The 25,274-nt window shown below is 40.8% G+C and overlaps 1 protein-coding gene and 1 long non-coding RNA gene across 4 annotated transcripts in view, besides 1 other annotated feature; one reads left to right on the top strand and one right to left on the bottom strand.

Moving 5' to 3' along the window:
* BRINP2 (BMP/retinoic acid inducible neural specific 2) overlaps positions 1 to 25,274 on the bottom strand; it is a 111,465-nt gene that overhangs the window by 13,735 nt on the left and 72,456 nt on the right. For all 3 annotated transcript variants that reach the window (XM_005245379.3, NM_021165.4, XM_024448722.2), the window contains 2 exons: positions 12,579 to 12,769; positions 11,304 to 11,512 (listed from right to left, as the gene is read on the bottom strand). In XM_005245379.3, coding sequence (XP_005245436.1) covers positions 11,304 to 11,512; positions 12,579 to 12,769 — 400 coding nt within the window. The remainder of the gene's footprint in view (positions 1 to 11,303; positions 11,513 to 12,578; positions 12,770 to 25,274) is intronic.
* Positions 12,009 to 13,208: an enhancer, noted in NCBI's record as "CDK7 strongly-dependent group 2 enhancer chr1:177224616-177225815 (GRCh37/hg19 assembly coordinates)". NCBI's record gives its function as "activates an origin of replication core promoter dependent on BRD2, BRD4, P300/CBP, MED14 and CDK7 cofactors, with strong dependence on CDK7, by STARR-seq in HCT116 cells {active_cell/tissue: HCT116}" and the evidence as "EXISTENCE:reporter gene assay evidence [ECO:0000049][PMID:35650434]".
* On the top strand, positions 12,649 to 25,004 carry LOC105371625 (uncharacterized). Its single transcript, XR_922299.4, has 3 exons — positions 12,649 to 12,836; positions 23,894 to 24,019; positions 24,839 to 25,004. It is a non-coding gene; the product is annotated as an uncharacterized LOC105371625 (long non-coding RNA).

Genomic DNA, 25,274 nt, shown 5'->3' with positions numbered 1-25,274 from the left:
AAGGTGATAGGCATGTAAACATCCTCAATGTAAAGTGACAAATTCTGCAATAGAGGTGTGTGCCAATTTGGGTAAACCTTCCAACAGAGGGGGATGTTCAGTGAGGTCTTAAGGAATACATTAAATAAACAAAAAGGTGCATATGTCCATGTTAGTGCAAAGAAGTTGCTAAGTAAGGGTAGTAAATGTACATCTGCTTAGGGGAACAAGAAACAGGCAGATATGCTGGGGAACTTTTCCTCCACCAAGGCAGAGTAGGTAAGCAGAATACCCCATCCCAACTCCATCCACCTCTCTCAAGAGTAATGAATGTGCTGGAAGCCAGCTGCTGAGTAGAGGAAGGTAGGTGGCAGGTGTCGTAGCACCAACAAAAGAGTGTTAGCTAGCAAGGATGTGCTGCTGTGTATATCCAGGCTATTGGCCTTTGCTGTATGGATCTGTAAGTACTAAATGTGTGAGAGCAAAGTAATGTTCCCTGGCAGACAACTTTACTGCCAGGACAAAATGGGCATGTCAATCCCATAAAGTGAGCAGAACTGTGGGGTGGGATGCCAACACACAACTTTGCTCCTTAGTCTAGCAATGGGTCCTTGAACAGGCCACATCAGGTCTCTAGACCTTGCTAAGTTGTGTAAATGTGAAAACTTGAAGAGAAGAAGGTGGGGGAAAACAAAATCATCCTTGTTTTTTCATGGTTTTCTTCCTAGGGGGAGAAGCCATTGTACTCCCAGACAGAAAAAAATCCCAGATCAGTCAGCCCAGTGGAAGCTGAATATTCATCTCACTTTCAATGTGTTCTTAGAGAATCTTCAAAAAGTGGTTTCCAAGGATGGTGACCTCTTTTGAGGAGATGGGCAGTGGCTCTAATTCTGGAAAGTGCATTAATAGGCACTATAAAAAATGTAGTTTGGGCTGTCTAACCACCTTTAACTCCACCACCCACAGACTGCTTAAGAGGCAGGTCCAGAAAGCCATAGTTATGACTATGCAAGCCCAACTCTTTGTATTAAACTAAGGGTAGACTTTGAACCAGATTCTTTCTCAAGAGAATTGAAAACTATGATACTGAAAGAAAAAATTTACAAGGTGATTGTAGATACTCATAAAATTCAAATAATAAAGAATTATAAAGCACCTAAAATATATCAGGAACCGAGGACATGGCGATGAACAAAGTAGTGATCTCTGCCATGGTGGCATTGACCAAGAGATAAAATAGAAAGATAATATTCAGCCAGAGTCAACTCCACAGCAAGCCAAAGTTACATGTAAGTTGAAGTCATCGAGGTACAGAAAAGTATGGAATAAATAGATAAAAGATCTCCAACTAGGGAAGCAAGAAGATGACACAGATGGAGATGAAAAAGTAGTGACACGTATTTCAACAAAAAACAAAAAGAATAACCTGGGAGTATGACCATACTTTTCCAAGTTCGTGTGCCTAGGTTAGATTTAGTGCCTAGTCTTTGGAGAGCTGTGATATTTTTCACCAGAGTTCTCTTAATAAACTATTCTTATATTCAAGCTACCTTGAGTAGATCTCTGTTTCTTTCAACTAAGCATGCTTATATGTACTTGCATACACACTGAGCAGAAGAGCCTAATCTATGTGGAAAATGCCATGTCCAGGGACTCATTCATTAATTCAACAAACCTTTACCCACTGCCCACAGTATGGGAAGCTCTGTACTTTTAGTGGGAAATCATAGTTGAACAAGACCCAGCCTCTTCCACAAGGACCTCATAGTCTCACGTGGAAGTCATCATGTTAGCTGACATACATTCAGTTTTACAGTTCAAATGATATGCCTTATAAAAGAGGCATATGTTTGAAACCCTAAAGGGGCATTTGACTACCTTGGGAGTTAGGAAAGGCTTCACAAAAGAGTAACTTTTTTTTTTCTTTCTTTTTTTTTTTTTTTTTTTTTTAGAGTGAGTCTCCCACTGTTCCCCAGGCTGGAGTGCAGTGGCGTGATCTCGACTCACTGCAAGCTCCACCTCGCCAGTTCATGCCATTCTCCTTCCTCACCCTCCCGAGTAGCTGGGACTACAGGTGCCCGCCACCACGCCCGGCTAATTTTTTGGTATTTTTAGTAGAGACCGGGTTTCACCATGTTAGCCAGGATGGTCTTGATCTCCTGACCTCGTGATCCGCCCTCCTCGGCCTCCCAAAGTGCTGGGATTACAGGCGTGAGCCACCGCGCCCAGCCAAAAGTTACCTTTTTAAGCTGAGCAAAGGGTGAGGGGGAGCCATTCAGGTGAACAGACAAGCATTACAAGTAAAGCAAACAGCAAGTGCCAGGAAAGTGAGATATGAGAATATGACATATTTGAGTAAAGCCTGATATTTAGGTATGATTGGGTTATACAATATGAATGGAAGGTGAAGAGTAGAGCAGGGAGTAAGGGGGCTGAGAAAAGTACCAAAGGACTTGTTAAAAATGAAACTAGAAAGACAGCAGAGACAGATTTTCAATAGTCACATCGTTTAGTTAAGAACAGGAATTAATCTTTTTCACACTCCAGCAGTGCTATGGTTAATATTATTATTATTATTATTATTATTTTGAGATGGAGTCTCACTCTGTCACCCAGGCTGGAATGCAGTGGCATAATCTCCACTCACTGCAAGCTCCAGCTCCTGGGCTCATGCCATTCTCCTGCCTCAGCCTCCCAAGTAGCTGGGACTACAGGCGCCTGCCACCACGCCCAGCTAATTTTTTGTATTTTTACTAAAGATAGGGTTTCACCATATTAGCCAGGATGGTCTCCATCTCCTGACCTTGTGATCCGCTCACCTTGGCCTCCCAAAGTGCTAGGATTACAGGTGTGAGCCACCGCAGCTGGCCTACACTTTATTATTAAACCTCATGGAAAACTTCAAGATAGAAATTATTTTAATTGTGCAACAATTTTAGGATGAGTAAACTGAGGTTCTGAGAAGTTTGGCAACTTGTTCAAAGCCCCACCATGAGCAATGGCAGAATTCAGACTCTTGGGTTGCAGCCTATGTTCTTTCCATTGCATCACACTGCCACCCAGGATGGGGAACAATAGTTTGGGCTCTGTCCCATGTACAGTTTGGAGCCACTGAAGCATTTTAGGCAGGGAGCAATATGATACAATATGATATGATGATTTGCACTCATGGTAGCAACCTAGAGGTTGAATCAGGGAGAAGAGCTGAGAATAAAAATAAGAAAACTACTTAACAGGATAATGCAAGAAAATCAGGTAAAAGTTGATGAAGTCCTAGATTAAGGAAATGGCAGTGGGCATGAAGAAGGGACAAAGGGCATTTTGAAGACATATGCAAGAGAATGATTATATTGCCTAGGTTTTCTTCTATGGTTTTTATGGTTTAAGTCTTTAATCCATCTTGAGTTAATTTTTGTTTAAGGTGTAAGGAAGGGGTCCAGTTTCAGTTTTCTGCATAAGGCTAGCCAGTTTTCCCAGCACCATTTATTAAATAGGGGAATCATTTCCCTATTTCTTGTTTTTGTCAGGTTTGTCAAAGATCAGATGGTTGTAGATGAGTGGCTTTATTTCTAAGGCCTCTGTTCTGTTCCATTGGTCTATATATCTGTTTTGGTACCAGTACCGTGCTATTTCGGTTACTGTAGCCTTGTAGTATAGTTTGAAGTCAGGTAGCATGATGCCTCCAGCTTTGTGCTTTTTACTTAGGATTGTCTTGGCTACGCGGGCTCTATTTTGTTTCCATATGAAATTTAAAGTAGTTTTTTCTAACTCTGTGAAGAAAGTCAATGGTAGCTTGTTGGGGATAGCATTGAATCTATAAATTACTTTGGGCAGTATGACCATTTTCATGATATTGATTCTTCCTATCCATGAGCATGGAATGTTTTTCCATTTGTTTGTGTCCTCTCTGATTTCCTTGAGCAGTGGTTTGTAATTCTCCTTGAAGAGGTCCTTCACATCCCTTGTAAGTTGTATTCCTAGGTATTTTATTCTCTTTGTAGAAATTGCGAATGGGAGTTCACTCATGATTTGGCTGTTTGTCTATTATTGGTGTATAGGAATGCTTGTGATTTTTGCACATTGATTTTGTATCCTGAGACTTTGCTAAAGTTGCTTATCAGCTTAAGGAGATTTTGGGCTGAGACGATGGGGTTTTCTAAATATACAATCATGTCATCTGCAAACAGAGATAATTTGGCTTCCTCTCTTCCTATTTGAATATGCTTTATTTCTTTCCCTTGCCTTATTGCCCTGGCCAGAACTTCCAGTACTAGTTAAATAGGAGTGGTGAGAGAGGGCATCCTTGTCTTGTGCCGATTTTCAAAGGGATGGCTTCCAGCTTTTGCCCATTCAGTATGATATTGGCTGTGGGTTTGTCATAAATAGCTGTTATTATTGTGAGATGCGTTAAATCAGTACCTAGTTTATTGAGATTATAGTGATGAATCAAGGAATTTAAGAAAATGAGGCCATTAAAGAGTGAGGAAAGTGTAAAGTTGGTCAGGTCAAGGAACAGGAAGGAACATAAATGGGATCTTTAAGTTGTAGACCCAATGCCTACCTTTCATTTTCTGATATGATCCATTTTTCTCCAACTTTGACACAGTCCCCTACAGGACTAAATGGGGAGAGAGGCTTTCACAGAGTTCTGTCTTCTTGGTAAAACCTACTCCATGCCACAGTGATTTCTAGGTGGCACTGAGAGCCAGCTTGAGACTCATGGCCATAATTATAACATAAGATCACTCAGCATAGTTTTAAGTTTTATCAGCTGCATTTAGCAGTTCACGTACAGGAAGGCATGGAATAGATGGAGAGTTGGATTTAACCAGGATGTGTGTGTATACATGATGAAAGATAAAAGAGGGAAGAGAGTTAAGAGTAAAAAAATCACATCAGTGAGTTTTTAAATCATTTTAAACTGTCTAAGATACTAGTCTCTCAAATATACCCTACCTCCCTGTTAATAGAAAGTCATCCTTATCTCTTCTACTCTCACTCCAGACTCTGTAAATCCCCTAATCTCACCTCTTCTCTTCAGTTAACTTCCACTGTGCTCTGTGGATCTCATGATCAGTTCTTAGCAAAATCCCATATAATCTCAACTACTTCTCAAGAGTGCACTTTGCCTTTCGGTTCTAACCACGATATAGCTGACCCTGAGGACATGGTTTCCCCTGCAGCCTTCTCTAGCAGTGGCCATCTCATTTCCCACCCCTCATGCTCCTGGGCATGGAAGTAAGGAAGGCGCTCCCTTGTGATATCCTGAACACTGTTCCTTCATCCTCTCTAATGATCTCTGGCTCCTTTGAAGCCAGAACCACTGGACTCTTAGCACCCACTACCTGTCCTCATTGCAGTTTATTTTTCTTGTTACTCCCCCTCATTCATTGCCATTAAGTGATTACATAGGGAATGCAGTTACTAATAAAATTAGGTTCCAGGGCATAGTATTCCTTCTATAATCTCAATATTAGGCATCACCCACTCATACTTGCTCTAGTCTCTTTCCCTAATGAATTGTCAAACCTACTTAGACTTTTAACCTTTATACCTGACCAACTTTTCACTTTCTAGCATCCTCAAAGGCTTCTTTTCATTCCTTGGCTGAATTATATTCCATGGTCCATTACTGTAATCACTCCTTTGTGTATATTCTCAACTCTCTTCCCTCTTTTATCTTTCGCCACGTATATACACACATCTTTGTTAAATCCAACTCTTTGTCTATTCCATGCCTACCTATACATGAACTGCTAAATGTAGCTGATAAAACTTACGACTATGCTGACTGGTCTCATGTTATAATTATGGCCACCGAAGCGGGCTCTCAGTGCTACCCAGAAATCTACTGTGTTTATCTAGCCAACCAACACTCTTAGCTCTTATTCTCAAAAGACCATTTCATAGATTATTTTCCCAACTATTCCCTTTTCTTCCTGTTAGCCAAAGACTTTCCTTCTGTTTAACCTAGGAAATCAAGAAGAAGAAGCCAATCAAAAGAAAACAACAGCACTATCTCACCATGCAACTAATATCCTGCTGCATTTGTCTTTGTGCCCTCTGCATTGCCGCCTGTTAGGAAGGATGAAGCACTCAAGTTCCTGGGTAAGAACAACCTCTTTGCTCCTATGATTATCTTCTGTCTCTCCTACATCATCACTTTCTCCCTCTCTATGGAGGCTTTTTTTTTTTTTCCAGACAGAGGCTTGCTCTGTCACCAGGCTGGAGTGCAGTGGCGCAATCTCAGCTCGCTGCAACCTCCGTCTCCCGGGTTCAAGTGATTCTCCTGCCTCAGCCTCCCAAGTAGCTGGGACTACAGGGGTGCACCACCTTGCCCAGCTAATTTTTGTATTTTTAGTAGAGATGGGGTTTCACCATGTTGGCAAGGATGGTCTTGATCTCTTGACCTTGTGATCCACCCGCCTTGGCCTCTAAAAGTGCTAGGATTACAGGCATGAGCCACAGTGCCTGGCCTATGGAGTTATTTTAATCAGTATATCAATATGCTGGAACAGCTCCCATCTTAAAAACAAAAACACACCCTCCCATGACCCCACATCGCTCCCCAGTTATCACTCATTTTTCCATTTGCCTTCATAGCAAAAGGATTATTTCTACTCATATCTGATTCCTCACTTTGCTTCCTTCCTCGAGTTTTCTTCACTTGGCCTTTTGTACTCTTCATGTACTGAACCACTCTTCTCCAGGTTACCAGTGACCTCCATGTCACCAAATTGAAGGTCGAGTCTCAATCTTCACCTTAGTGACTGCTCAACAGCCACAGTTGCCAGTTACTTCTTTTGTGAAAAACATTCTTCACGTGGCTTTGTGAGCCCGCTTTGGTTCTCTTCATACTCTCTGTTCTGTCTCAGTCTTCTTGGTTGGATCCTCTCTTCTTCCCCATTTCTGAATATTAGAGTGCTTCACAACTCAGCCCTAGGGCCACTTTCCTAGTTGCACTCACTCCTTGAGTGATCTCATTTCATTTTCTCCCATAGTTGTAAATACCCACTACACATGTGTATATATTTGCACACCAAATTTCCATCTTCAATCATGGCCTTTCTCTTGAAATCCTGGTGTTTGTGTCCAACTGACTGTTAGATTTCTCTAGTAAGATGTCTGATAGGAATGTCACATTCAACATGTCTAAAACCAAATTCTTGATTTATTTCTTTCAGATCTGTACCTCCTCCCAGTGTTGTCCTTCTCAGTAAATGGAATCACTGTTCATTTGATTGCTCAGGCCATAAATCTTGCAGTAAATCTTTATTCCTTTCTTCCAATCTATTGTCTGATTGCATAGGCTCTATCATCAAAATATATTCTGAATATGCCAACTTCTCACCACCTCTGTGACACCAGCTTTGTCTAAGCCACAATTATGTCTTACCTTTACCACTGCAATAGCCACTGCACTGGTCTCCAGGATCCCCCTTTCTTTCTACTTCCTAATCAGTAAGGCCTTCATGATATGGCCCCTGCAACCTCTATAAACTCATCTTTCACTTCATTTCTCTCCTGCCTGCATGCCAGCCTCACTGCCTTTCTTGGTGGTCCTGGATCATACAAAGTACACTGCCCTGCCACTTTAGGGCACTTGTACCTGTTCTGTCCTTTGTCTCTGATGTTTGGGGCTTACTCCCTCACTTCATTCAGGTCTCTGCTTAAGTGGCATTCCTTGGACAGGTCTTCCCTAAACTCCACATCCCCATCACCCTTTATCCTCTTACTTGGCTTCATTTCTTCATACCATTCATCCCACCTGGCATTATACAGGTGTACCTCAGAGATATTATGGGTTCAGCTTTAGACCACTGTAATAAAGCAAATATCACAATAAAGCAAGTCATGCACATTTTTTGGTTTCCTAGTGCCATATGAAAGTTATGTTTACACTATACTGTAGTCTATTAAGTGTTCAATAGCATTATGTCTGAACAAACAATGTACATACCTTAATTAAATAATATGTTATTGCTAGAAAATGCTAATGATCATCTGAGCCATCAGTCAGTTGTTGGAATCTTTTTGCTGGTGGAGTGTCCTGCCTTGATGTTGATGGCTGCTGACTGATCAGGGTGGTGGTTGCTGAAGGTTGGGGTGGCTGTGGCAATTCCTTAAACTAAGACAACAATGAAGTTTGCTGCATCAATGGACTCTTCCTTTCATGAGAGATTTCTCTGTAGCATGTGACGCTATTTGATAGCATTTTACCAACAATAGAACTTCTTTCAAAATTGGAGTCAATCCTCTGAATCCCTGCCACTGCTTTATCAACTAAGTTTATGAAATATTCTAAACTCTTTGTTGTCATTTCAACAACATTCATAGTATCATCACCAGGAGTAGATTCCCTCTCAAGAAACCACTTTCTTTGCTCATTCATAAGAAGCAACTCGTCATTTATTCACATTTTATCATAAGATTGCAGCAATTCAGTCACATCTTCAGGCTCTACGTTTTATTTCAGTTCTCTTCCTATTTCCACTACATATACAATTACTTCCTCCACTGAGGAAAGACATCCTCAAAGACATCCATGAGGGTTGGAATCAACTTCTCCAAAGCTCCTGTTAATGATATTTTGACATCCCCCTATGAATTACAAATGTTCATAATGGCATCTAGAATAGTGTTATTTCTAAATGATTTTCAATTTACTTTGCCCAGATTTGTCAGAGGAATCACTATCTATGGCAGCCTTTACCTTATAAAAACGTTTTTAAATAAGACTTGGAAGTCAAAATTACTCCTTGATTCATGGGCTACAGAATGGATGCTGTGTTTGCAGGCATAAAAACAATATTAATCTCCTTTGTACATCTCCATCAGAGCTCTTGGGTGAGCAAGTATATTGTAAATCAGAAGTGATATTTTGAAAGAATTTTTTTTCTGAGTAGTAGGTCTCAACAATGGGCTTAAGATAGTTCATAAACCATGCTGTAAACAAATATGCTGTCATCGAGGCTGGATTGTTCCATTTATAGAGCACTGGCAGAGGAGATTCAGCATAATTCTTAAGGGCCCTAGGATTTTCAGAATGCTAAATGAGTCTTGGCTTCAATTTAAAGTGACCAGCTATATTAGCCTGTAAGAAGAAAGTCAGCTTGTCCTTTGAAGCTTTGAAGCCAGGCATTGACTTACCCTCCTTAGCTATGAAAGTCCTCAATGTCATCTTCTTCCAGGAGAAGGCAGTGTCATCTACACTGAAAATCTGTTGTTTAGTGTAGCCACCCTCATCAATGATCTTCGCTAGATCTGGATAACCTGCTGCAGCTTCTAAATCAGCAGTTACTGCTTCATCTTGTGCTTGTATATCATGGAGACGGGTTCTTTCCTCCAATCTCATGAACCAACCTACGCTAGCTTCAAACATTTTTCTGTAGCTTTTTGACCCCTCTCAGTCTGCAGAGAATTAACCAGAGTCAGGGCCTTACTCTGGATTAGGCTTTGGCTTCGGGGAATGTTGTGGCTGGTTTGATCTTCTATCCAGACCACTCAAACTTCCTTCATATCAGCAAGAAGGCTGTTTGGCTTTTTTATCATTCTTGTATTCACCGGACTAGCACTTTTAATGTCTTTCAAGGACTTTTTCTTTGCATTTGCAACTTGGCTAACTGTTTGTTGCAAGCGGCCTAGGTTTTGGCCTTTCTCAGCTTCTGACATGCCTTCCTCACTATGCCTAATCATTTATTTCTAGCTTTTGATTTCAAGTGAGAGATGTCTGACTCTTTCACTTGAAAACTTAGAAGCCACTAAGGTTAATAATTGGCCTAATTTCAATATTGTTGTGTCTCAGGGAATAGGGAGGCCTGAGAAAAGTGAGAGAGATAGGGGAACAGCCAGTTGGTGGACCAGTCAGAGCACACATCATTTATTGACGAAGTTTGTTATCACATATGGGTGCAATTTGTGACACTCCAAAACAATTATAAAAGTGACATTAAAGGTCACATATCACAGATCACCATAACAGATAAAATAACAATGAAAAAGTTTAAAATACTGTGAGAATTATCAGAGATACGAAGTAAGCACATGCTGTTGGAAAAATAGTGCCAAAAATAGTGCCAGGAAACTTGTTTGACACAGCGTTGCCATAAACTTTCAATTTGTAAAAACAAAAACAAAAACAAAAACAAAACCACAGTATCTGCAAAATGCAATGAAGCAAACCATAACAAAATGAGCTATTGCCTGTATATTTATGAATGATCTCTCTGCTATTAGAATTCAAGCTTTATCAGGGCAGGAACTTTACAGCTTTTGTTCATTCTTGTATTCTCAGGACCCCAAACAGTGCCTGACAAATAATACGTGCTCAGTAAATACTTATTGAATGAATTAATAAATAAACAAAATTTGCTTGTGAGTTTCACATGGGATAAAAGCAGGATATAAGACAACTTTGAAGTATTTTCAGTACCTTAACATTTTGCTTAGAATTTTTAAAAAACTGTATTCTCAAGTACAGTATTTTCACTGGTTTTCCCTAAAACAACATGAACTTTACTAGAAACCTCTTAGGTGTAAGTAGAGAAGATATGATGAAGGTTATAGTTATTAAAGTCACAATAACTATTGATCTCTTAAAAACACTCATGAGATCATGTTACTCCCCTGTTAAATCTTTCCAGTGGTTTTTCACTGCACTTTCACTTATATTAAAATTCCTTCTCATGGCACATAACCTGGCTCCAGCCAAACCTCATCTTCTCTTTGTTATTCACCTCCCCATCATCTCAGCAGTCTTCTCTGTGCCCCAACAAGGCACCAGGCTGGTTCCTGCTAAAAGGCCTTAGTACTTACTTGGAACAAGTACTTAGTACTTTGTTCTGTCTGCCTGAACACTTTCCGCTCACTTCTCCACACAGCTGGTTTCTTATCATTCAGAGCTCAAAGTCTAAACCCCAAAGTGCCCTCCATGATCAATCTAATAATAATCGTATGAGCTGCTCCCTCCCCACGCCCCAGGAAATGTACACCTATGACTCTGTCTTGTCTTTATTTATCATTAGAAATAACTTTGTTGTTTTTCCATCCTCCACCAGAGTGCAACCTCTGTGAGCATGGGGACCTTGACTGCCATTCACAGACGTGCCTCTGCTGTAGCCTGCCTCAGAGTGGGTGCTCTGTGAGTGTCTGCAGTGGAATGAATGACCCCATCGTGTCTGAAGGCTGGCTGTGTCTTCATCAGAAAGCTTCTTTTCCTCTTCCATCAGTCGGCCCAGCTGACCTAGAGATGGTTGAGGCTCTGGCCTCCCCCTGGTTCCTCAGTGCTTCCCCCATCCCCTTCCCTGTACCTCTCAGGTCATTACCTTGATGGCCCCCGTGGCTATCTGGATATGGTGCAGCCGTCGCAGCGTGCTCTCTCTGTCGATGAAGTAGGAGGCGGCCAGCTGGTGCAGGGTCTCCAGGGACACAGCTGTGCTGTTCCCACTGCCCCCGATTATAGAGGCACCTCCTGTTGTCTCTGTCTTTCTTCCCAGTTTCTGCTTGTCCACAAAAATGGTCAGGGACTCTTCTCCTATGGTGAACAACACGAGTGTATTGGTGACGCTCTCTGCTCTCGAATCCCCTACCAATAGGAACATAAAACCCTTGGCCAAGATAGACACAGCTGAGAGAGAGTGCAGCCCCTGCTGCCAAGCTCTTCCCCCAGCCCTTACCATCTTTAGAAGAAGCTCATCAGAGGGAGCCACAGGCCAGCGGCCTCGCTGCCTGAAAGGCCCTCTTCCAAAGCTCAGTCCCCCTGCCCTCAGCTTATCTGTTTAACATCTTCTATTGAACTCTGTCTCAAGCAATCCATCTTCATAGGGGAGACACAATTCTCTCTCTCAAGTTGTTTACGAGGAGTCTTCGTGGCTTTTTCTGCTCCCTCAGGAAGGGCAAAAGCCTTGAAGGGGCATCTCCCTCCTCCCCATCAAACACTCAACACCTGCCGCGTGCCGACAGCTGGCCCGAGCCCTGGGAGAGCTTGTTTTAGTCGATTGGACAGTGAGCTAAATGTTATAATAAATCCTGCTTCCTTCTTCCCAGGGCAGAGGGAGCTCTGCATCTTCAGAGATTTTGATCCTGCCCTGGGTCCTAGCCCACATTGCTCCACCCTACCCCCACTCTCCGCCCCACAAGAGGATGATTCATCAGCCCAGAACTACTGGAGTTGGTTTGGACAGTTTCCAATCGTTATAGAGAGGAAGAGGGGTCAGGGACTCCAGGGACTTCGACTTTTTTGCCTGTGGGTCTGACCATTGTAGCCACAGCAAACATTAGAAAGTGGCGAAGCCTCAGGGGTTGGGTGACTCAGCGGAGCGAAAACTGGGAGTGCCCCCTGCTGGCAAGTGCTTGTTAGGAGCCTGTCCACCTCCAACCGCCATACCCAACTTCCCCTCCTCAGGGAATAATTAAATAGAGATGTTCTGGGGTAAATTGAGATGTCAAGAGACTGCACTGTTTTCAAATGCACCAGAAAGACTTCTCAGGCAATAAAAGGCCCGGAAGAAGATAAGACTGTTGGAGCTACGCTACACGAGTCTTAACGTTATTTCCAATGGTCTGGCAACCAATTAGCTTGGGATTGTGATGTTGCTTACCTCCAAGGGTGGCAGAAAGTAAGAAATGAGTGCCGTACTTTTTAATCAGATTTTCTGTAACCTGTTGCAGATTGGGTCTCCTTCCAAGGAGGCGAATGTTCCGGATAAACTCTGGGGCAAGAGGCAATGGCAAACTGAAGAAGTCCTTCCTTTCCAGAGCCAAGTTGTTCACCTTCCAACGGGCAAACTCCCTGGGGGAAAAGCCAAGGGATAAGGAAAAGCTGACCTCGTTTCAGAGCAAGAGGCATAAAATCTGAAGTAGGTAATGTTCTTCCTCCACTTGCAGCCACTCATCTCCTCTCAGCCCACATCCCCTCAGCTGGAGGTGCCCAGAGCCTGGAAGAGGCCCCTTGGCCTCTCACCTGGCCTGTCATTCACATGCTGTAAGAAAGCTCTGTCTCCACTGATCTACATCAGAGCCTCTCCCAGCCAACTTTCTCATCAGACAGTAGTTGATTAGCTTATTCACATGAAGTCATGGTTTACAGTGTTGAGTAGTAGAAAAAACAAACATTGGAACAGTGGTTTGCAAAGATGTGATCTAATCACAGTTGTCTTACCGTGAATGAGTCACATCCCCTCTCATGGCCTCAGTTACTCACCTGTGAAGTCAGGAAGCTTGCTCTAGAACCACTGCCCTCATATTTTGATCTCTGATCCCCTTCATACTGTTAAAAATTATTGAATCCCCATATTTGTACATGTGGCTTAGAGCTATTGAGATTTACCATTTTAGAAATCAAAACCGAGAAAATCAACATTTGTTATTTCATTTAGAGATAACATTAATAAACCCATTACATATAACATAACATTTTCATGACAACTGTATGTTCTGAAACAAAACAAATTTAGCAAGGAGAGTGGCATGGCTTTGCATGTTTGCAAATCTCTTTAATATCAGGCTTAGCAGAAAAGAGCTGCACTCTCATATTTGCTTCTACATTCAATCTGTTTTCATAATTGTGGATTTTCATCTTTGGTACTACACTAAACTAAACAGATGGTAGTTTCTTAAAGGTTAGTTACAATATGGAATCTGAAATCATATCAGTGAACTTTTCATGCTTTGTTACATTAAATCCAGTGTTCTATATTGTAATTTGAATGGATCTTTTTATCCTGCATAATGTTGTAACATCATGTGTTGGTCATCTGGAAAATATCAGGTCACCAAGTTATGCAGATCTTCCACATTTTGACACTTTTCATTATATAATATTAAAACATCTCACTATTTAATATCATGACCAATCTCTTCAACGTCTTTAAATATTAGGAAAATGTCAAGTTCATGAGGATGAATGCAAGTTTTCTAAACTTTGAATTTTCATTTAAAAGCTTAAATTTTATTATTGGCAACAAATACTGTCAGTTGTTTTCCTTGCAGAGTCTGGCTTAATTCATTTTTTTTTTTTGAGAAACACCTGCTAGACACTCAAGTCTGAATAATCACAATTTGTTGCCTGTGCTTTCAAGAAAAAATGGAGTTCCATGAAAAAAGTGGCTAGTTCAGCTTGCAACTCAACCACAAAAGTATTTTTCCTTGAGATAATTATAGTACTTAAGTAGCCTCAGATTTGCTTTATGTGCACTTCCCATTTCATCTTACAGAATATTAAAAACACATGTACCCAAGGGTCAGGATTTAATAAAAGTAATAAATGTTACTGCTTTAAGGACATTCTTAAGTGAAGATAGTGTGTGTGTGTGTGTGTGTGTGTGTGTGTGCATGTGTGCTTATGTGTTTAGGTGCAAGTGTGTAATGATGAAGAATACATGACTCTTAGTGTTATGTGGTATGACTGCTTTTATTCAAATTAAAGTACCAGCAGTTTTATTTTGTACCTTCAGTGCAAATGTCAACATGAACACTCTGAAATAGACTAAGCGGATCCATATTTTGAGAAGCCTTATTCTAGAAGATTGCAAAGTTGTTCCTTTCTAATCCTGTTGAAGATTTTAATTTTCATGCTTTGCTCCTCACTGGAATGTTTGCATTTTAAAGGGGACAGGTTTATAAATCTTTGTCTTGGGATGAAATTTAAAGAATCATATCCATTAATAAAAAATGAGTTTTCCATTGTCCCCCAAATTATACTGGTAAGAACCAGCTCCACTGCCTTAGGAAGCAACAAAATGTAAAGTGTTTACACCCTCTTCACCCATCCCAAATCTGCTCATCATAACAGTGCCAAATCTTGGTCTAACCTTCCCCAAATGTCCATGAAATGCAAATGATAGAGTTGCATAAAAATAAAATAATTAAAAATAAATAAACGGATTTTTGACAAAGGTGCCAGGAACACACATTGGGGAAAGGAGAATATCTTTAATAAATGGTGCTGAAAAAACATAATACCCACATGCAGAAGAATAAAACTATCTTTCACCATGTACAAAAATCAGCTCAAAATGAATGAAAGACTTAAACATAAGACTCAAAACTATAAAACTAATAGAATAAAGTTTAGGGGAAAAGCTTTATGACATTGATGTGGGCAAGTTTTTTTGGATAAGAACTCAAAAGCACAGGCAACAAAAGCAAAAATAAACAAATGGGATTACATCAAACTGAAAAGCTCCTGCATAGCAAAGGAAACAACAGAGCGAGGAGACAACCTACAGAACTGAAGAAAATATTTGCAAATTATGAGTCCAATAAGGGGTTAATATCCAGAATATGTAAAGAACTCAAATAACTTAATAGCAAAAGAACATTTTTTTTAATGGTCAGAAGACTTGAATAGACATTTTTCAAAAGAATACATAAAAATGGCCAGCAGGTATATGATAAAATGCTCAACATCGCTAATCATCAGGGAAATACAAATCAAATGCACAGTGAAATGTCACCTCACCCTAGTTAGAATGGCTGTTATCAAAAAGACAGAAAATAACAAATGCTGGTCAGGATGCAGAGAAAGGGGAACTCTAATACACTGTTGGTGGGAGTGTAAATTAGTGCAGTCATTATGAAAACAGCATGAAAATTCCTCAGAAAACTAAAAATAGAACTAACATATGATCTAGCAATCTCACTACTAGGTACATATTCAAAGGAACTGAAATTAGTATATCAAAGAGATATCTGCACCCTCATGTTTATTGCAGCACCATTCAAAACAACCAAAATATGGAATCCACCTAAATGTCCATAAACTGATGATATACACAATGAAATACTACTCAGCTGTGAAAAGAATGAAATCCTATCATCTGCAGCAACATGGATGAACCTGGAGGACGTAATGTTAAGTGAAATAAGCCAGGCATAGAAAGACAAATACCACATAACCTCACTCATATGTAGGTCTAAAAAAGTTGATCTCATGGAATTAGAGACTAGAACAGTGGTTACCAGAGGCTAGGAAGGGTAGTGGGAAAGGGAGATGGGGAGAGCTTGGTTGACAGATACAAAGTTATAGTTAGGAAGAATAAGTTATGTGCTCTATTACATAGTAGGGTAACTGTGGCTAATAATAATGTACTGTAGATTTTAAGTAACTAGAAAAAAGCATCTTGAAAGTTATCACCACAAAGAAATGATAGATGTTTGAGGTGATGTATATGCTAACTACCCTGATTTGATCATTATTCGGTGTATGCATGTATTGAAACATCACACCAATACACTGTTGTGCCGGATATGTCAATTATAAACAAAATTTTTAAAATTAAAATTATAAATACATGAATAAATAAAAATCCATGCCACATTTGAGGCATAAATCCCACCATCTAACTGTAGAGACTGAGAGAGGAGCATGTGTCAAATGTTACTAGGGAAACAAAGAAAAGCGGGTGACTAATAATTCATGGTTCCAACAAAGTCTTCAAAATTCCCGCTGTGTAGCTTTATTTATCTAAGCAGGTAAGTTCATAATAATATATTGTCAGTTATTTCCTTTGTGCAGCAAATGCTAAGCTTTAATTAAAGTACAGAGTATTTGTCAAAAGTATTTTCTATCCCAAACCCCACTGCAGGGTAAAGAACAGTTGCCTAATCTCATCTCTAATTGGCTGGATGGAAACTAGAATCCTCTCACTGGTTAGTTGATAATTACATTGATGAATCATAAAATCAGATTACTAAAAGCAAATAAACAAACAAAAAACCTTAGGGTCATCAAACCCAGCCCCCTTGCTTTGGGATAGGGCATGTCTAGACTTCATTAACTAATAATTTCTAATCTATTATTTTTCTACATTGCTAGGGGAAAAAGACATTATTACAATTTCCATAGTTTCTTATAATGGTCGAAGCCCCTCACGGAAAGGAAAGGCCAACTTAGCATAGAGGTGGGCCCCACTTTAATTAAATATAATAAATAAAAATTGGTAGTCTGTTGTCTGGCCCAGTCAGACACTGGGTCTGGATGGGAACTAGTATCCTCTAGTTTCCTTATGTTTCTCATAAAACAGAAAGGGTAAGTGGTTTACCTAAAGCAATAAAGCCAGTTGATAATAGAACCAGAACAAAAAGCTAGTGTCCTGGCCCTCCTTCTATGCTATTAACAGCAACTATGATGGTGGTGACAATAGTCACAACTTGGACCCAGAGAGATTAAGAAAGTAGTGTGGATGAAGTCACACAGTTAGTAAATGACAGAGTTGTGCTTAAAACCCAGGCCAATATCATACTGCTGTTTCTATAGCACTGTTTTCCTTCGAGTAGATAAGGTTAAATGTTAAGTGTATTTCATTGCATTCTAATTTTTTTGTGGTGTTTAGTATCCTTTAACACAAATATTTTTATTACCCAGAACATTCCACTTTTTACATTTTCTACACAAAACATGGATTAATTGTATATTCAAAACATAGCATAACATTTACACCGCAGCAAAATGTTCCTGGATTAAGCCAGTTTTAACCTGCCCATTTGCAGGAGAAGAAATTGAGATGCCTCAAAAAGCCAAGTCCATACAGAGAGTACATGGGAGGAATCACAGATAAAGGCCTAAGTCCAGCTCCTGTGGCTGCTAAATAAATCATAATACAGAATAGTGAATGACCTAGAAAAAGGAATGATACTGTCTAAGGAAGCTTTTTATGAGCAAATAATAAAAAATAATGGCTAACATTTAATGAATTTTTAGTATGTGATAGGCATTCCAAGCATCTTACAAGGATTAGTTAATATTATATTCAAAACACCATATAAGGGGGAAAATATAATTATCTTCATTTTATAGATGATGAAATTGAGGTACAAATAAGTTAATTTGCTCAGTAGTTAAAAGCTAGTAGGTGGCAAGGTCAGGATTTAAACACAGACTGTCTGACTCCAGTACACACAGCCTTTGCCACTAGGCTATACTACCTCCACCTGTGAAACTCTGAGGAACAACTGTGCTATGGAGTAGAAGTGTGTGCATGTGGGGAGAGAGTTTCAATAGTGCCATATAGGGATTATAAGGATAGGGACTATATTTGGAGAATTTCACTGGAGAAAGAATCCATAAGAATGCATACAAGTGGCAGCCGGGCGCCGTGGTTCATGCCTGTAATCCCAGCACTTTGGGAGGCCAAGGCGGGTGGATCACGAGGTCAGGAGTTCGAGACCACCCTGGCCAAGATGGTGAAACCTGTTCTCTACTAAAAATACAAAAATTAGCCGGGCGCAATGGCAGGTGCCTGTAATCCCAGCTACTCAGAAGGCTGAGGCAGGAGAATCATTTGAACCTGGGAGGTGGAGGTTGGAGTGAGCCGAGATTGTGCCACTGCACTCCAGCCTGGGCAACAGGGCAAGACTCCATCTCAAACAAACAAACAAACAAACAAACAAAGAATGCACACAAGTGGCTACATTTGCCAAAGAACAAAAAACAAACAAAAAAACCCAAATCTATTTTCATCACAAATTACAGTGGGCTATCAACTCAGAATTAGACTCAAGTGGGCATGGTGGCTAGTGCCTGTAGTCCCAGTTACTCAGAAGGCTGAGGTGGGAGGATCATTTGAGCCCAGGAGTTTGAGTCCAGCCCAGGCAACATAGCAAGACCCCTGTCTCAAAAATTATGAGGCATAAGGCCTCAGCCACAGGAGTTCGAGTCCAGCCTGGGCAACATAGCAAGACTCCTGTCTCAAAAAAGAAACATTAGGCATAAGTACTAAGCCACAGAAAGGTTCAGACTCTAGGGGCTCCCAGTGGTTTTCTCTTCTACCCCAATAAGTTTCTTCCTTGCCCTCTGGGGCCCTTCATGGAACCAAAATAATAGAGAAACATCTATGAGTGGTGTTTGAGCCAGAAAGTGGTAAAAATGTGCTTACAGAACTTAATAACCTGGTTCTTTCCAGCATCTGCAAACCTCAGAGGCAATACTGGAAGGCAGCCTGAGCTATTCAAAGAAGAAATGTTCATTTCTGATTTTTCATTTAGCAGCTTTTCCCCCCAGTAATAGAATAATCAAGGCTCTTTTTTTTAAACTAAGAAAAGGATGTTTTCTATATATCAATTATATTAACACACACTGCTTCAATTAAGCCATCATCTTTGTTTCAATTAAGATATCAAGTAAATCTCCATTTCAATTTAGCCATTTCTCCTAAAATCTTCTCCCACTGTGTTTGTTACACAGTAAACAGTCTGAGAAAGCAAACATTTCTAACAGCCCTATAGTCCCTATGTAAAGTGTCTTTAGAATAGGAGTGGCCACTGCATTCAGGGCTGACAGGTTGAGCCAAAGGGTAAAGAGAGCCCTTCCCTGTGGACTTTGCCTGTAAAATGCATTCACATTGCACATATAAAGGGTACTTCAGTAAACTGCTATAATTAACAAAAATTCAGTCCATTTTCCATCTTCCTCTAGCATGCTTTAGGTTAGCCTAGAGTGAACAATATGTATTTCCAGGAAAGGGTGAACATACACATAAAATCATTAATAAAAACCAAAACAATGTCCAGGAAAGGGATAACCCAGCCTGGAAGGTATAATCCAATGTGTTAAATCAGCCAAGCATACCGACACTCAGAATATTTTAGATATAATGATATCTAAATAATCAGTGCTGAAGTAATTGTAGTTATCTTTATCCCAAATTGCATAACACTAGTGGTCCAGATTGCCAAAAAATGATGCTTCTGGTTGTACATGAGTTTAGGGATTTCCCTAAAATCCAAAGGGGCCCTGCAATAAGAGAGTTGAACCATAGCCATGCCAGATCTCAGGCACAGGAGCTTCAGCAGGGTTTTGAGACTGGGCCAGCTCTGGGTTTGAAGCAAAAGGGTCTCCGATGAGAATACTAAATGGCTACAAATGTTCCTAATTCAAAAGATGTAAATAAAAAGTGCTGCCTCCGACTCAAGCTACTGATTCTTATGTCAGCAGCCACCTGCAGCACTATGTTACACAAGGTCAACAAGAAATCTCCCAGCAAGAATCCCCCTGCAGGGTCTCGTGCCTGAAGATGAAAGACTCAGAAAGAGCACAGCTGGGGTCTTCCAGCCCAGGTGCTGTTTCCAGCAGCTGCACACAGAAGCACCAGTTTCCAGACTCATAAACTGAGAACATTGACCTGGCCCCTGTGAAGAGTCACTACCTATGAAGCCTCCCTCCCTATGCAGCCTTAAGGGGGAGAGTATTAAAAAAAAATACACACACACACACACGCACGCACACACACACACACACGCACACACACACGCACGCACACACACACACACACACAAACTGTACCTCAGTGAAGCTGAAATCTAGAAGTACAGGTTGAGTGTCCCTGATCTGTAAATCTGAAATCTAAAATGTTCCAAAATCCAAAACTTTTTGAGCATCAACATGATTCTCAAAGGGAACACTCACTGGAGCATTTAGAATTTCATATTTTGAGATTAGAGATGCTGATCCAGTATAATGCAAATATTCTAAAATCTGAAAAAAAATTCAAAATATTTCTGGTCCCCAACATTTTTTGGATAAGTGATACTCAACCTGTAATGAATACTGTAGCCTACAATGTGGGTGGTTGTGCTATAACTTCACACGAACAGCCGGATTATTCTGTTTCCAGTTTTTTAATAGATCTTTCATCTTTCTACCTCTGCGGGGGAAGCATGTTCCGGCCCATTTCCAAGTCCACAGATAGGGCTGTCATTTGGAAAGTCACATCCCTGTATCCTAAGCATGCAGCTCTATCCGCCCCCCTCCACCGTGGCACCCCTGCAGGCTTGGCACCAACCTATCCTGGTGTCAGTGTGCCCCTGCATACTAGGAGACATTTGTTCCTCCTGCATTAGACTCCAGGCTGGGTTTACTGAGGAGGAAATCAATGCTGCTTCCAGCAGAGCCAACCAATCACCGCCTGCTCACTATTCTGCGTTTCTCAGAATTGAGATACTGTGGGGAAGTCTTAAGGCAGCCACGGAACCCATTTTGCAAGCAATGACAGAAGGAGTGGGCTGTCAGGGTAAGGACATTGACCTCTATTCTTTGGCCCTCCTGATCTATTTCCAATGATCTATCTTTTGGGGGCACCCCCTCCAACTTTTAGTGCTCAAAAGGACTGCAGTGCTGAAAGAGACTGGGCTATTATTCTCCAGTTTGAACCAAACTGGTTTTCCCTGAAAAATGAAGATAAACAGAGGACATGTTATTGAATAAAATATTTAAGAACTCTGGAGCAAAAGAGACTGGCCTCAAGCCAAGGACATAGTTTTCTTGTCATTTTTCCTGGGACTTTACTTTGTCTACTTAAACTGTCAACCAATGACCCATGGGAAATTTTCTCACATACCAACCAGTTCTGGGTAAGTTCAACTGTCTTTGTTCTCAGAGCCTTTGTCTTGGAGATTTGCCTTTCCACAATTAGCTTGAGACTTGCCAACTGGACAGAGGAAAATCAATAAGTACCACTGAGTTTCACACTGCTGATTTTCCTAAAGAATTTCAGACACAGGAAGTCTTCTCTTTCTTCATCTTTCTACCAATATACCTCACATCCAGGGCTACTGCTCCCATCACAGAACTCAGTCCACCAAGCGATGACATCACCATTTTGTCTTTTTCATAGGACTCACATTTTTCATCTTGAAAAACTCACATGAACAAGAATAGCCAAAGCCAACATGTACACTGAGTGATGCCAGTTTTTTACCCAGTGACTCAGCTATGATAGTTTCACATTCTCTATCAAGCTGGACATTTTAGGGGCTTAAGGATATATCATACTTTGGCTCCAATACAGAGGCAGTATTTCCAGACACATCACATGACCAGGAGATTTCTATCTCAACAACAGATTACTGTAATGTACTTGGCTATTAGAGACTTTACTGCTATAATGAATAAGACATGATTAATCTGAGCTATAAAACGAAACGATAATAAAAATCATAATCCCATATATTGGCGTAGTGCTTTCCTGAGAGATTGGGGGGAAGTCTTAAAGCAGCAATGGAACCCACTTTGCAAACAATGACAGAAGCAGTCAGCTATCATGGTAGGGACATTGACCTTCTCTATTCTTTGGCCCTCCTGATCTATTTCCAGTAGTCTCTCTTTTGGGGGCACCCCCTCCAACTTTTATTGCTCAAAAGGACTACAGTGCTGAAAGGGACTAGGCTATTATTCTCCGAACAGTTGTCTTGATATCCAAACTGTTTTTTGCACACAATTTTTACACACGCTTATTTTATCTATACAGGGACCTTGGGGGAAAGGGAGAGAAAATATCATTAATCAACTATTAAGCTTTTACATGTTAACACATGAGGAGACAGAGAAACTGAGAGAAATGGTTTGCCCCAAGTCTCAGTTGACTAGTGGTAGAGTTTGACTAGAACCTAGACCACACTACCAATGATTTTCTGCCTTTGTCTGTGACCTGTGTTCAAGCTCAGGGAGTACTGTCCACCTTTGTCATATTTCCCAGGTAATTCTTTTGCCTTGTTTACCACTGTGGCTGGGAGAGATCCCCAGGCAGGAAGGCTTCAGTCCAGGAGTTGTTTGGTTAAGTAATATCTCAGCCCTTGCAATTCTTAGAGACACAAGAACAGAAATGAGGCCATCTCTTCCCTGATGTCCTGGTGCTCTCCATCTTTTCACTGTCTGGGAGAATTCAAGAAGCCTGGCATGGAGGTAATTTAGCAGCCTGCTGTGTTCTCAAACAACGGCCCGTAAACAATGATTGGCCAATTTCATTCTAATCTTCCCAATTTTGCTCTAATTAAAATCAAGCTGCAGCTTTCAAACAGTTTAATTAAGGCTGATTGGGAGAAATGGGGGAGGGGAGAGTCAAGCTTAAAGGAGGAGGAGGAGATCACTGTTTGGCTATTCTCACACTGCCCTGGTGGGGCTTGGGGACATAGGGAGGGCACTGAGAGTGGTGTGTTTATAGAATCAACATGAAAGACAACAGACCCACTGGAATGAGGGCCCAGTGAATCTGTGTGACCAGAAGGATTTGAAGAGGGAGCTGAGACCTGTGTCTTCCCAGGCACAAACTGTCAGATCTTTCCTGACATCCCAAACTGCTCCCCAGCATCTCATCTGCTCAACTGTGGACAGCATAGCTCTGTTCACCACTATCTGCCTCCCATTGTGCTTGTCTTTGCTCAGCAAGTGGCCCATGCAATGCTTCTCCCATCAGATGTCTTCATGAGCTTCCTTTATTTACTTGACTCCCAGAGAATTCCCACAGACTGGTAATTCCTTCCATTATTCTACAAGTTTATTCCTTTTGCAAAGAAATAGCCCCTCTGGTATTTTGGTGCATTTAATTTTTATATAGGCCATTCTTCTTTGGACTAAATAGTTTTAGTTCCTTCAACACAGTTTCCAGATTCCTAGGCCTACATGCTCCACCTTTTCTGCTTGCAATCTAGCTTGTCAACGTTCTTTCTTTTTAAAGATGGAAACCAAAATTGAACACAATCTGGTAGATATATTCTGAGCCACTGAGAGTACATTAGGATACAAGATCTGAATACATCATTATCACCATCACTATGACCATTATCATAGTTTCAGTTATTAGTGAGACCCTCTGTTTCTAGGAATGGAAGTAGATACTTTATATATTTTTAAATTGTCACTATAATCCTACAGATGTCAGTGTGGTTGATTGAATCATCATTCTCGCCAGTATTAGAGTGCCCTTTGACATGTTACTTTGCAATATCACTCACTTGTGAGAGGGGAGCTTATTTCCTTCCCTCAGTGATATTGGGTTTGGCTTTGTGACTTTGCTTTGGACAAAGGAATGAGGGCAGAAGGGACTGTGTGCTGATTTGGGGCCAAGACCTCAATAGATACTGCATATTTCTACTCTCCATCTTGCATTTCTGCCCTTACTATGAGAACTGCTTCCTCCAGGTACTGCAGGTGCTGCTCTTTTAGCCTGGGCCCCAGAATAAACACCACTAGAAGAAACACCTAATGGCCTCCTTGCAGACCAGCAGCGTGATGCAAAGCTAACCCGGCGAACCTGCACATGAATGAGTAAGAATAAATTTCGTTTTTATTTTATTTTTTTGAGATGGAGTCTCACTTTTTCACCCAGGCTGTAGTGTAGTGTAGTGGCATGATCTCGGCTCACTGCAGTCTCTGTCTCCCAGGTTTAAGCAATTCTCCTGCCTTAGCCTCCCGAGTAGCTGGGACGACAGGCACATGCCAACACGCCCAGCTAAGGAAGAAATTATTTTTAAACTACTGAATTTTGCTGTTTTGTATGCATCATTGTAGCAATAGTTAAATGACACACACCACAAGCTTTAGTCCTATTTTATAGCTAAGCTTGTTGAGGCTCAGATAATTTAGGACACACACAAGGACACAAAGATAAGTAAGACGTGAAGGCAGTGTATGCTGTTGCTGCTATATATATTTTCTTTATTAATGTACTTGAATATTACACTCATTTTTTAAAGACAAAAATATTCTTTGCTAACCATAATCATATCATCAGCCAGTATCCCATATTTCTTTCCAGCCCCAGAAATTTTTTTCACAAGTATCACAGCCAAGTCAGGTCTCTGATATTTGTGACATTGACATTTTTAACTTCAGTTTAGGGCTTTACATTTCGCCCTCTTTTTGCATTCCACTCCTTGTGGCAGAGGCTGGAAAGTTGTTTCCAAAGATGTTTCCATTTTCCTCCTGGGCTCACAGATGGACAATTTCCCACCCCCACCCCCACAGCTTCCTCTGCATTTAAACATAGCCATGTGACTGAATTCTACAGTGGAATATGAGTCCAGGTCTAGTCCTTCAAACCTCTCATGAAATCCTTCATGCTCTTTCTCTTCCCTTGTCTACCAGGATCCAGGACTCTGAGGCCCTAAGGAATGGCAGTGATGAGGTAGGAGTCTTGGTCCTGAATGATTTCATGAAGCAATCTCCTTTTATGTCTCTCATAAATTGTATTGGAGTGTGACATGAGCAAAAACATAAACTTTCATTAAGTCACTCAGATTTGAGGACTGTTTGTTTCAGCAGTTACCCTATTTTGACTAATACTGTCTTGATTGTATCTATCCAATATTCTAGCCTGATGAAACAATCTTGGCTCTTGATCTCTTAACTGTATTGCCTAGCTGGATAAGGGTTCAATTACTGTTTTTATTGTCCCTGTGGTCAAGTAGCCATGCTCCCATTTCTTCTCAGCTCAGCAACAAACCTGTATGTGGTCTCCCTTCTTCTTGCTTGTTGGGTCTAGGGGGAGATGGTTTTGGTCTTGAGGCCTTGTCTTTTATGC

The sequence above is a fragment of the Homo sapiens genome, chromosome 1, assembly GCF_000001405.40.
Source record: "Homo sapiens chromosome 1, GRCh38.p14 Primary Assembly".
NCBI lineage: Eukaryota > Metazoa > Chordata > Mammalia > Primates > Hominidae > Homo > Homo sapiens.
This window is presented reverse-complemented; position numbering and strand designations above follow the sequence as displayed.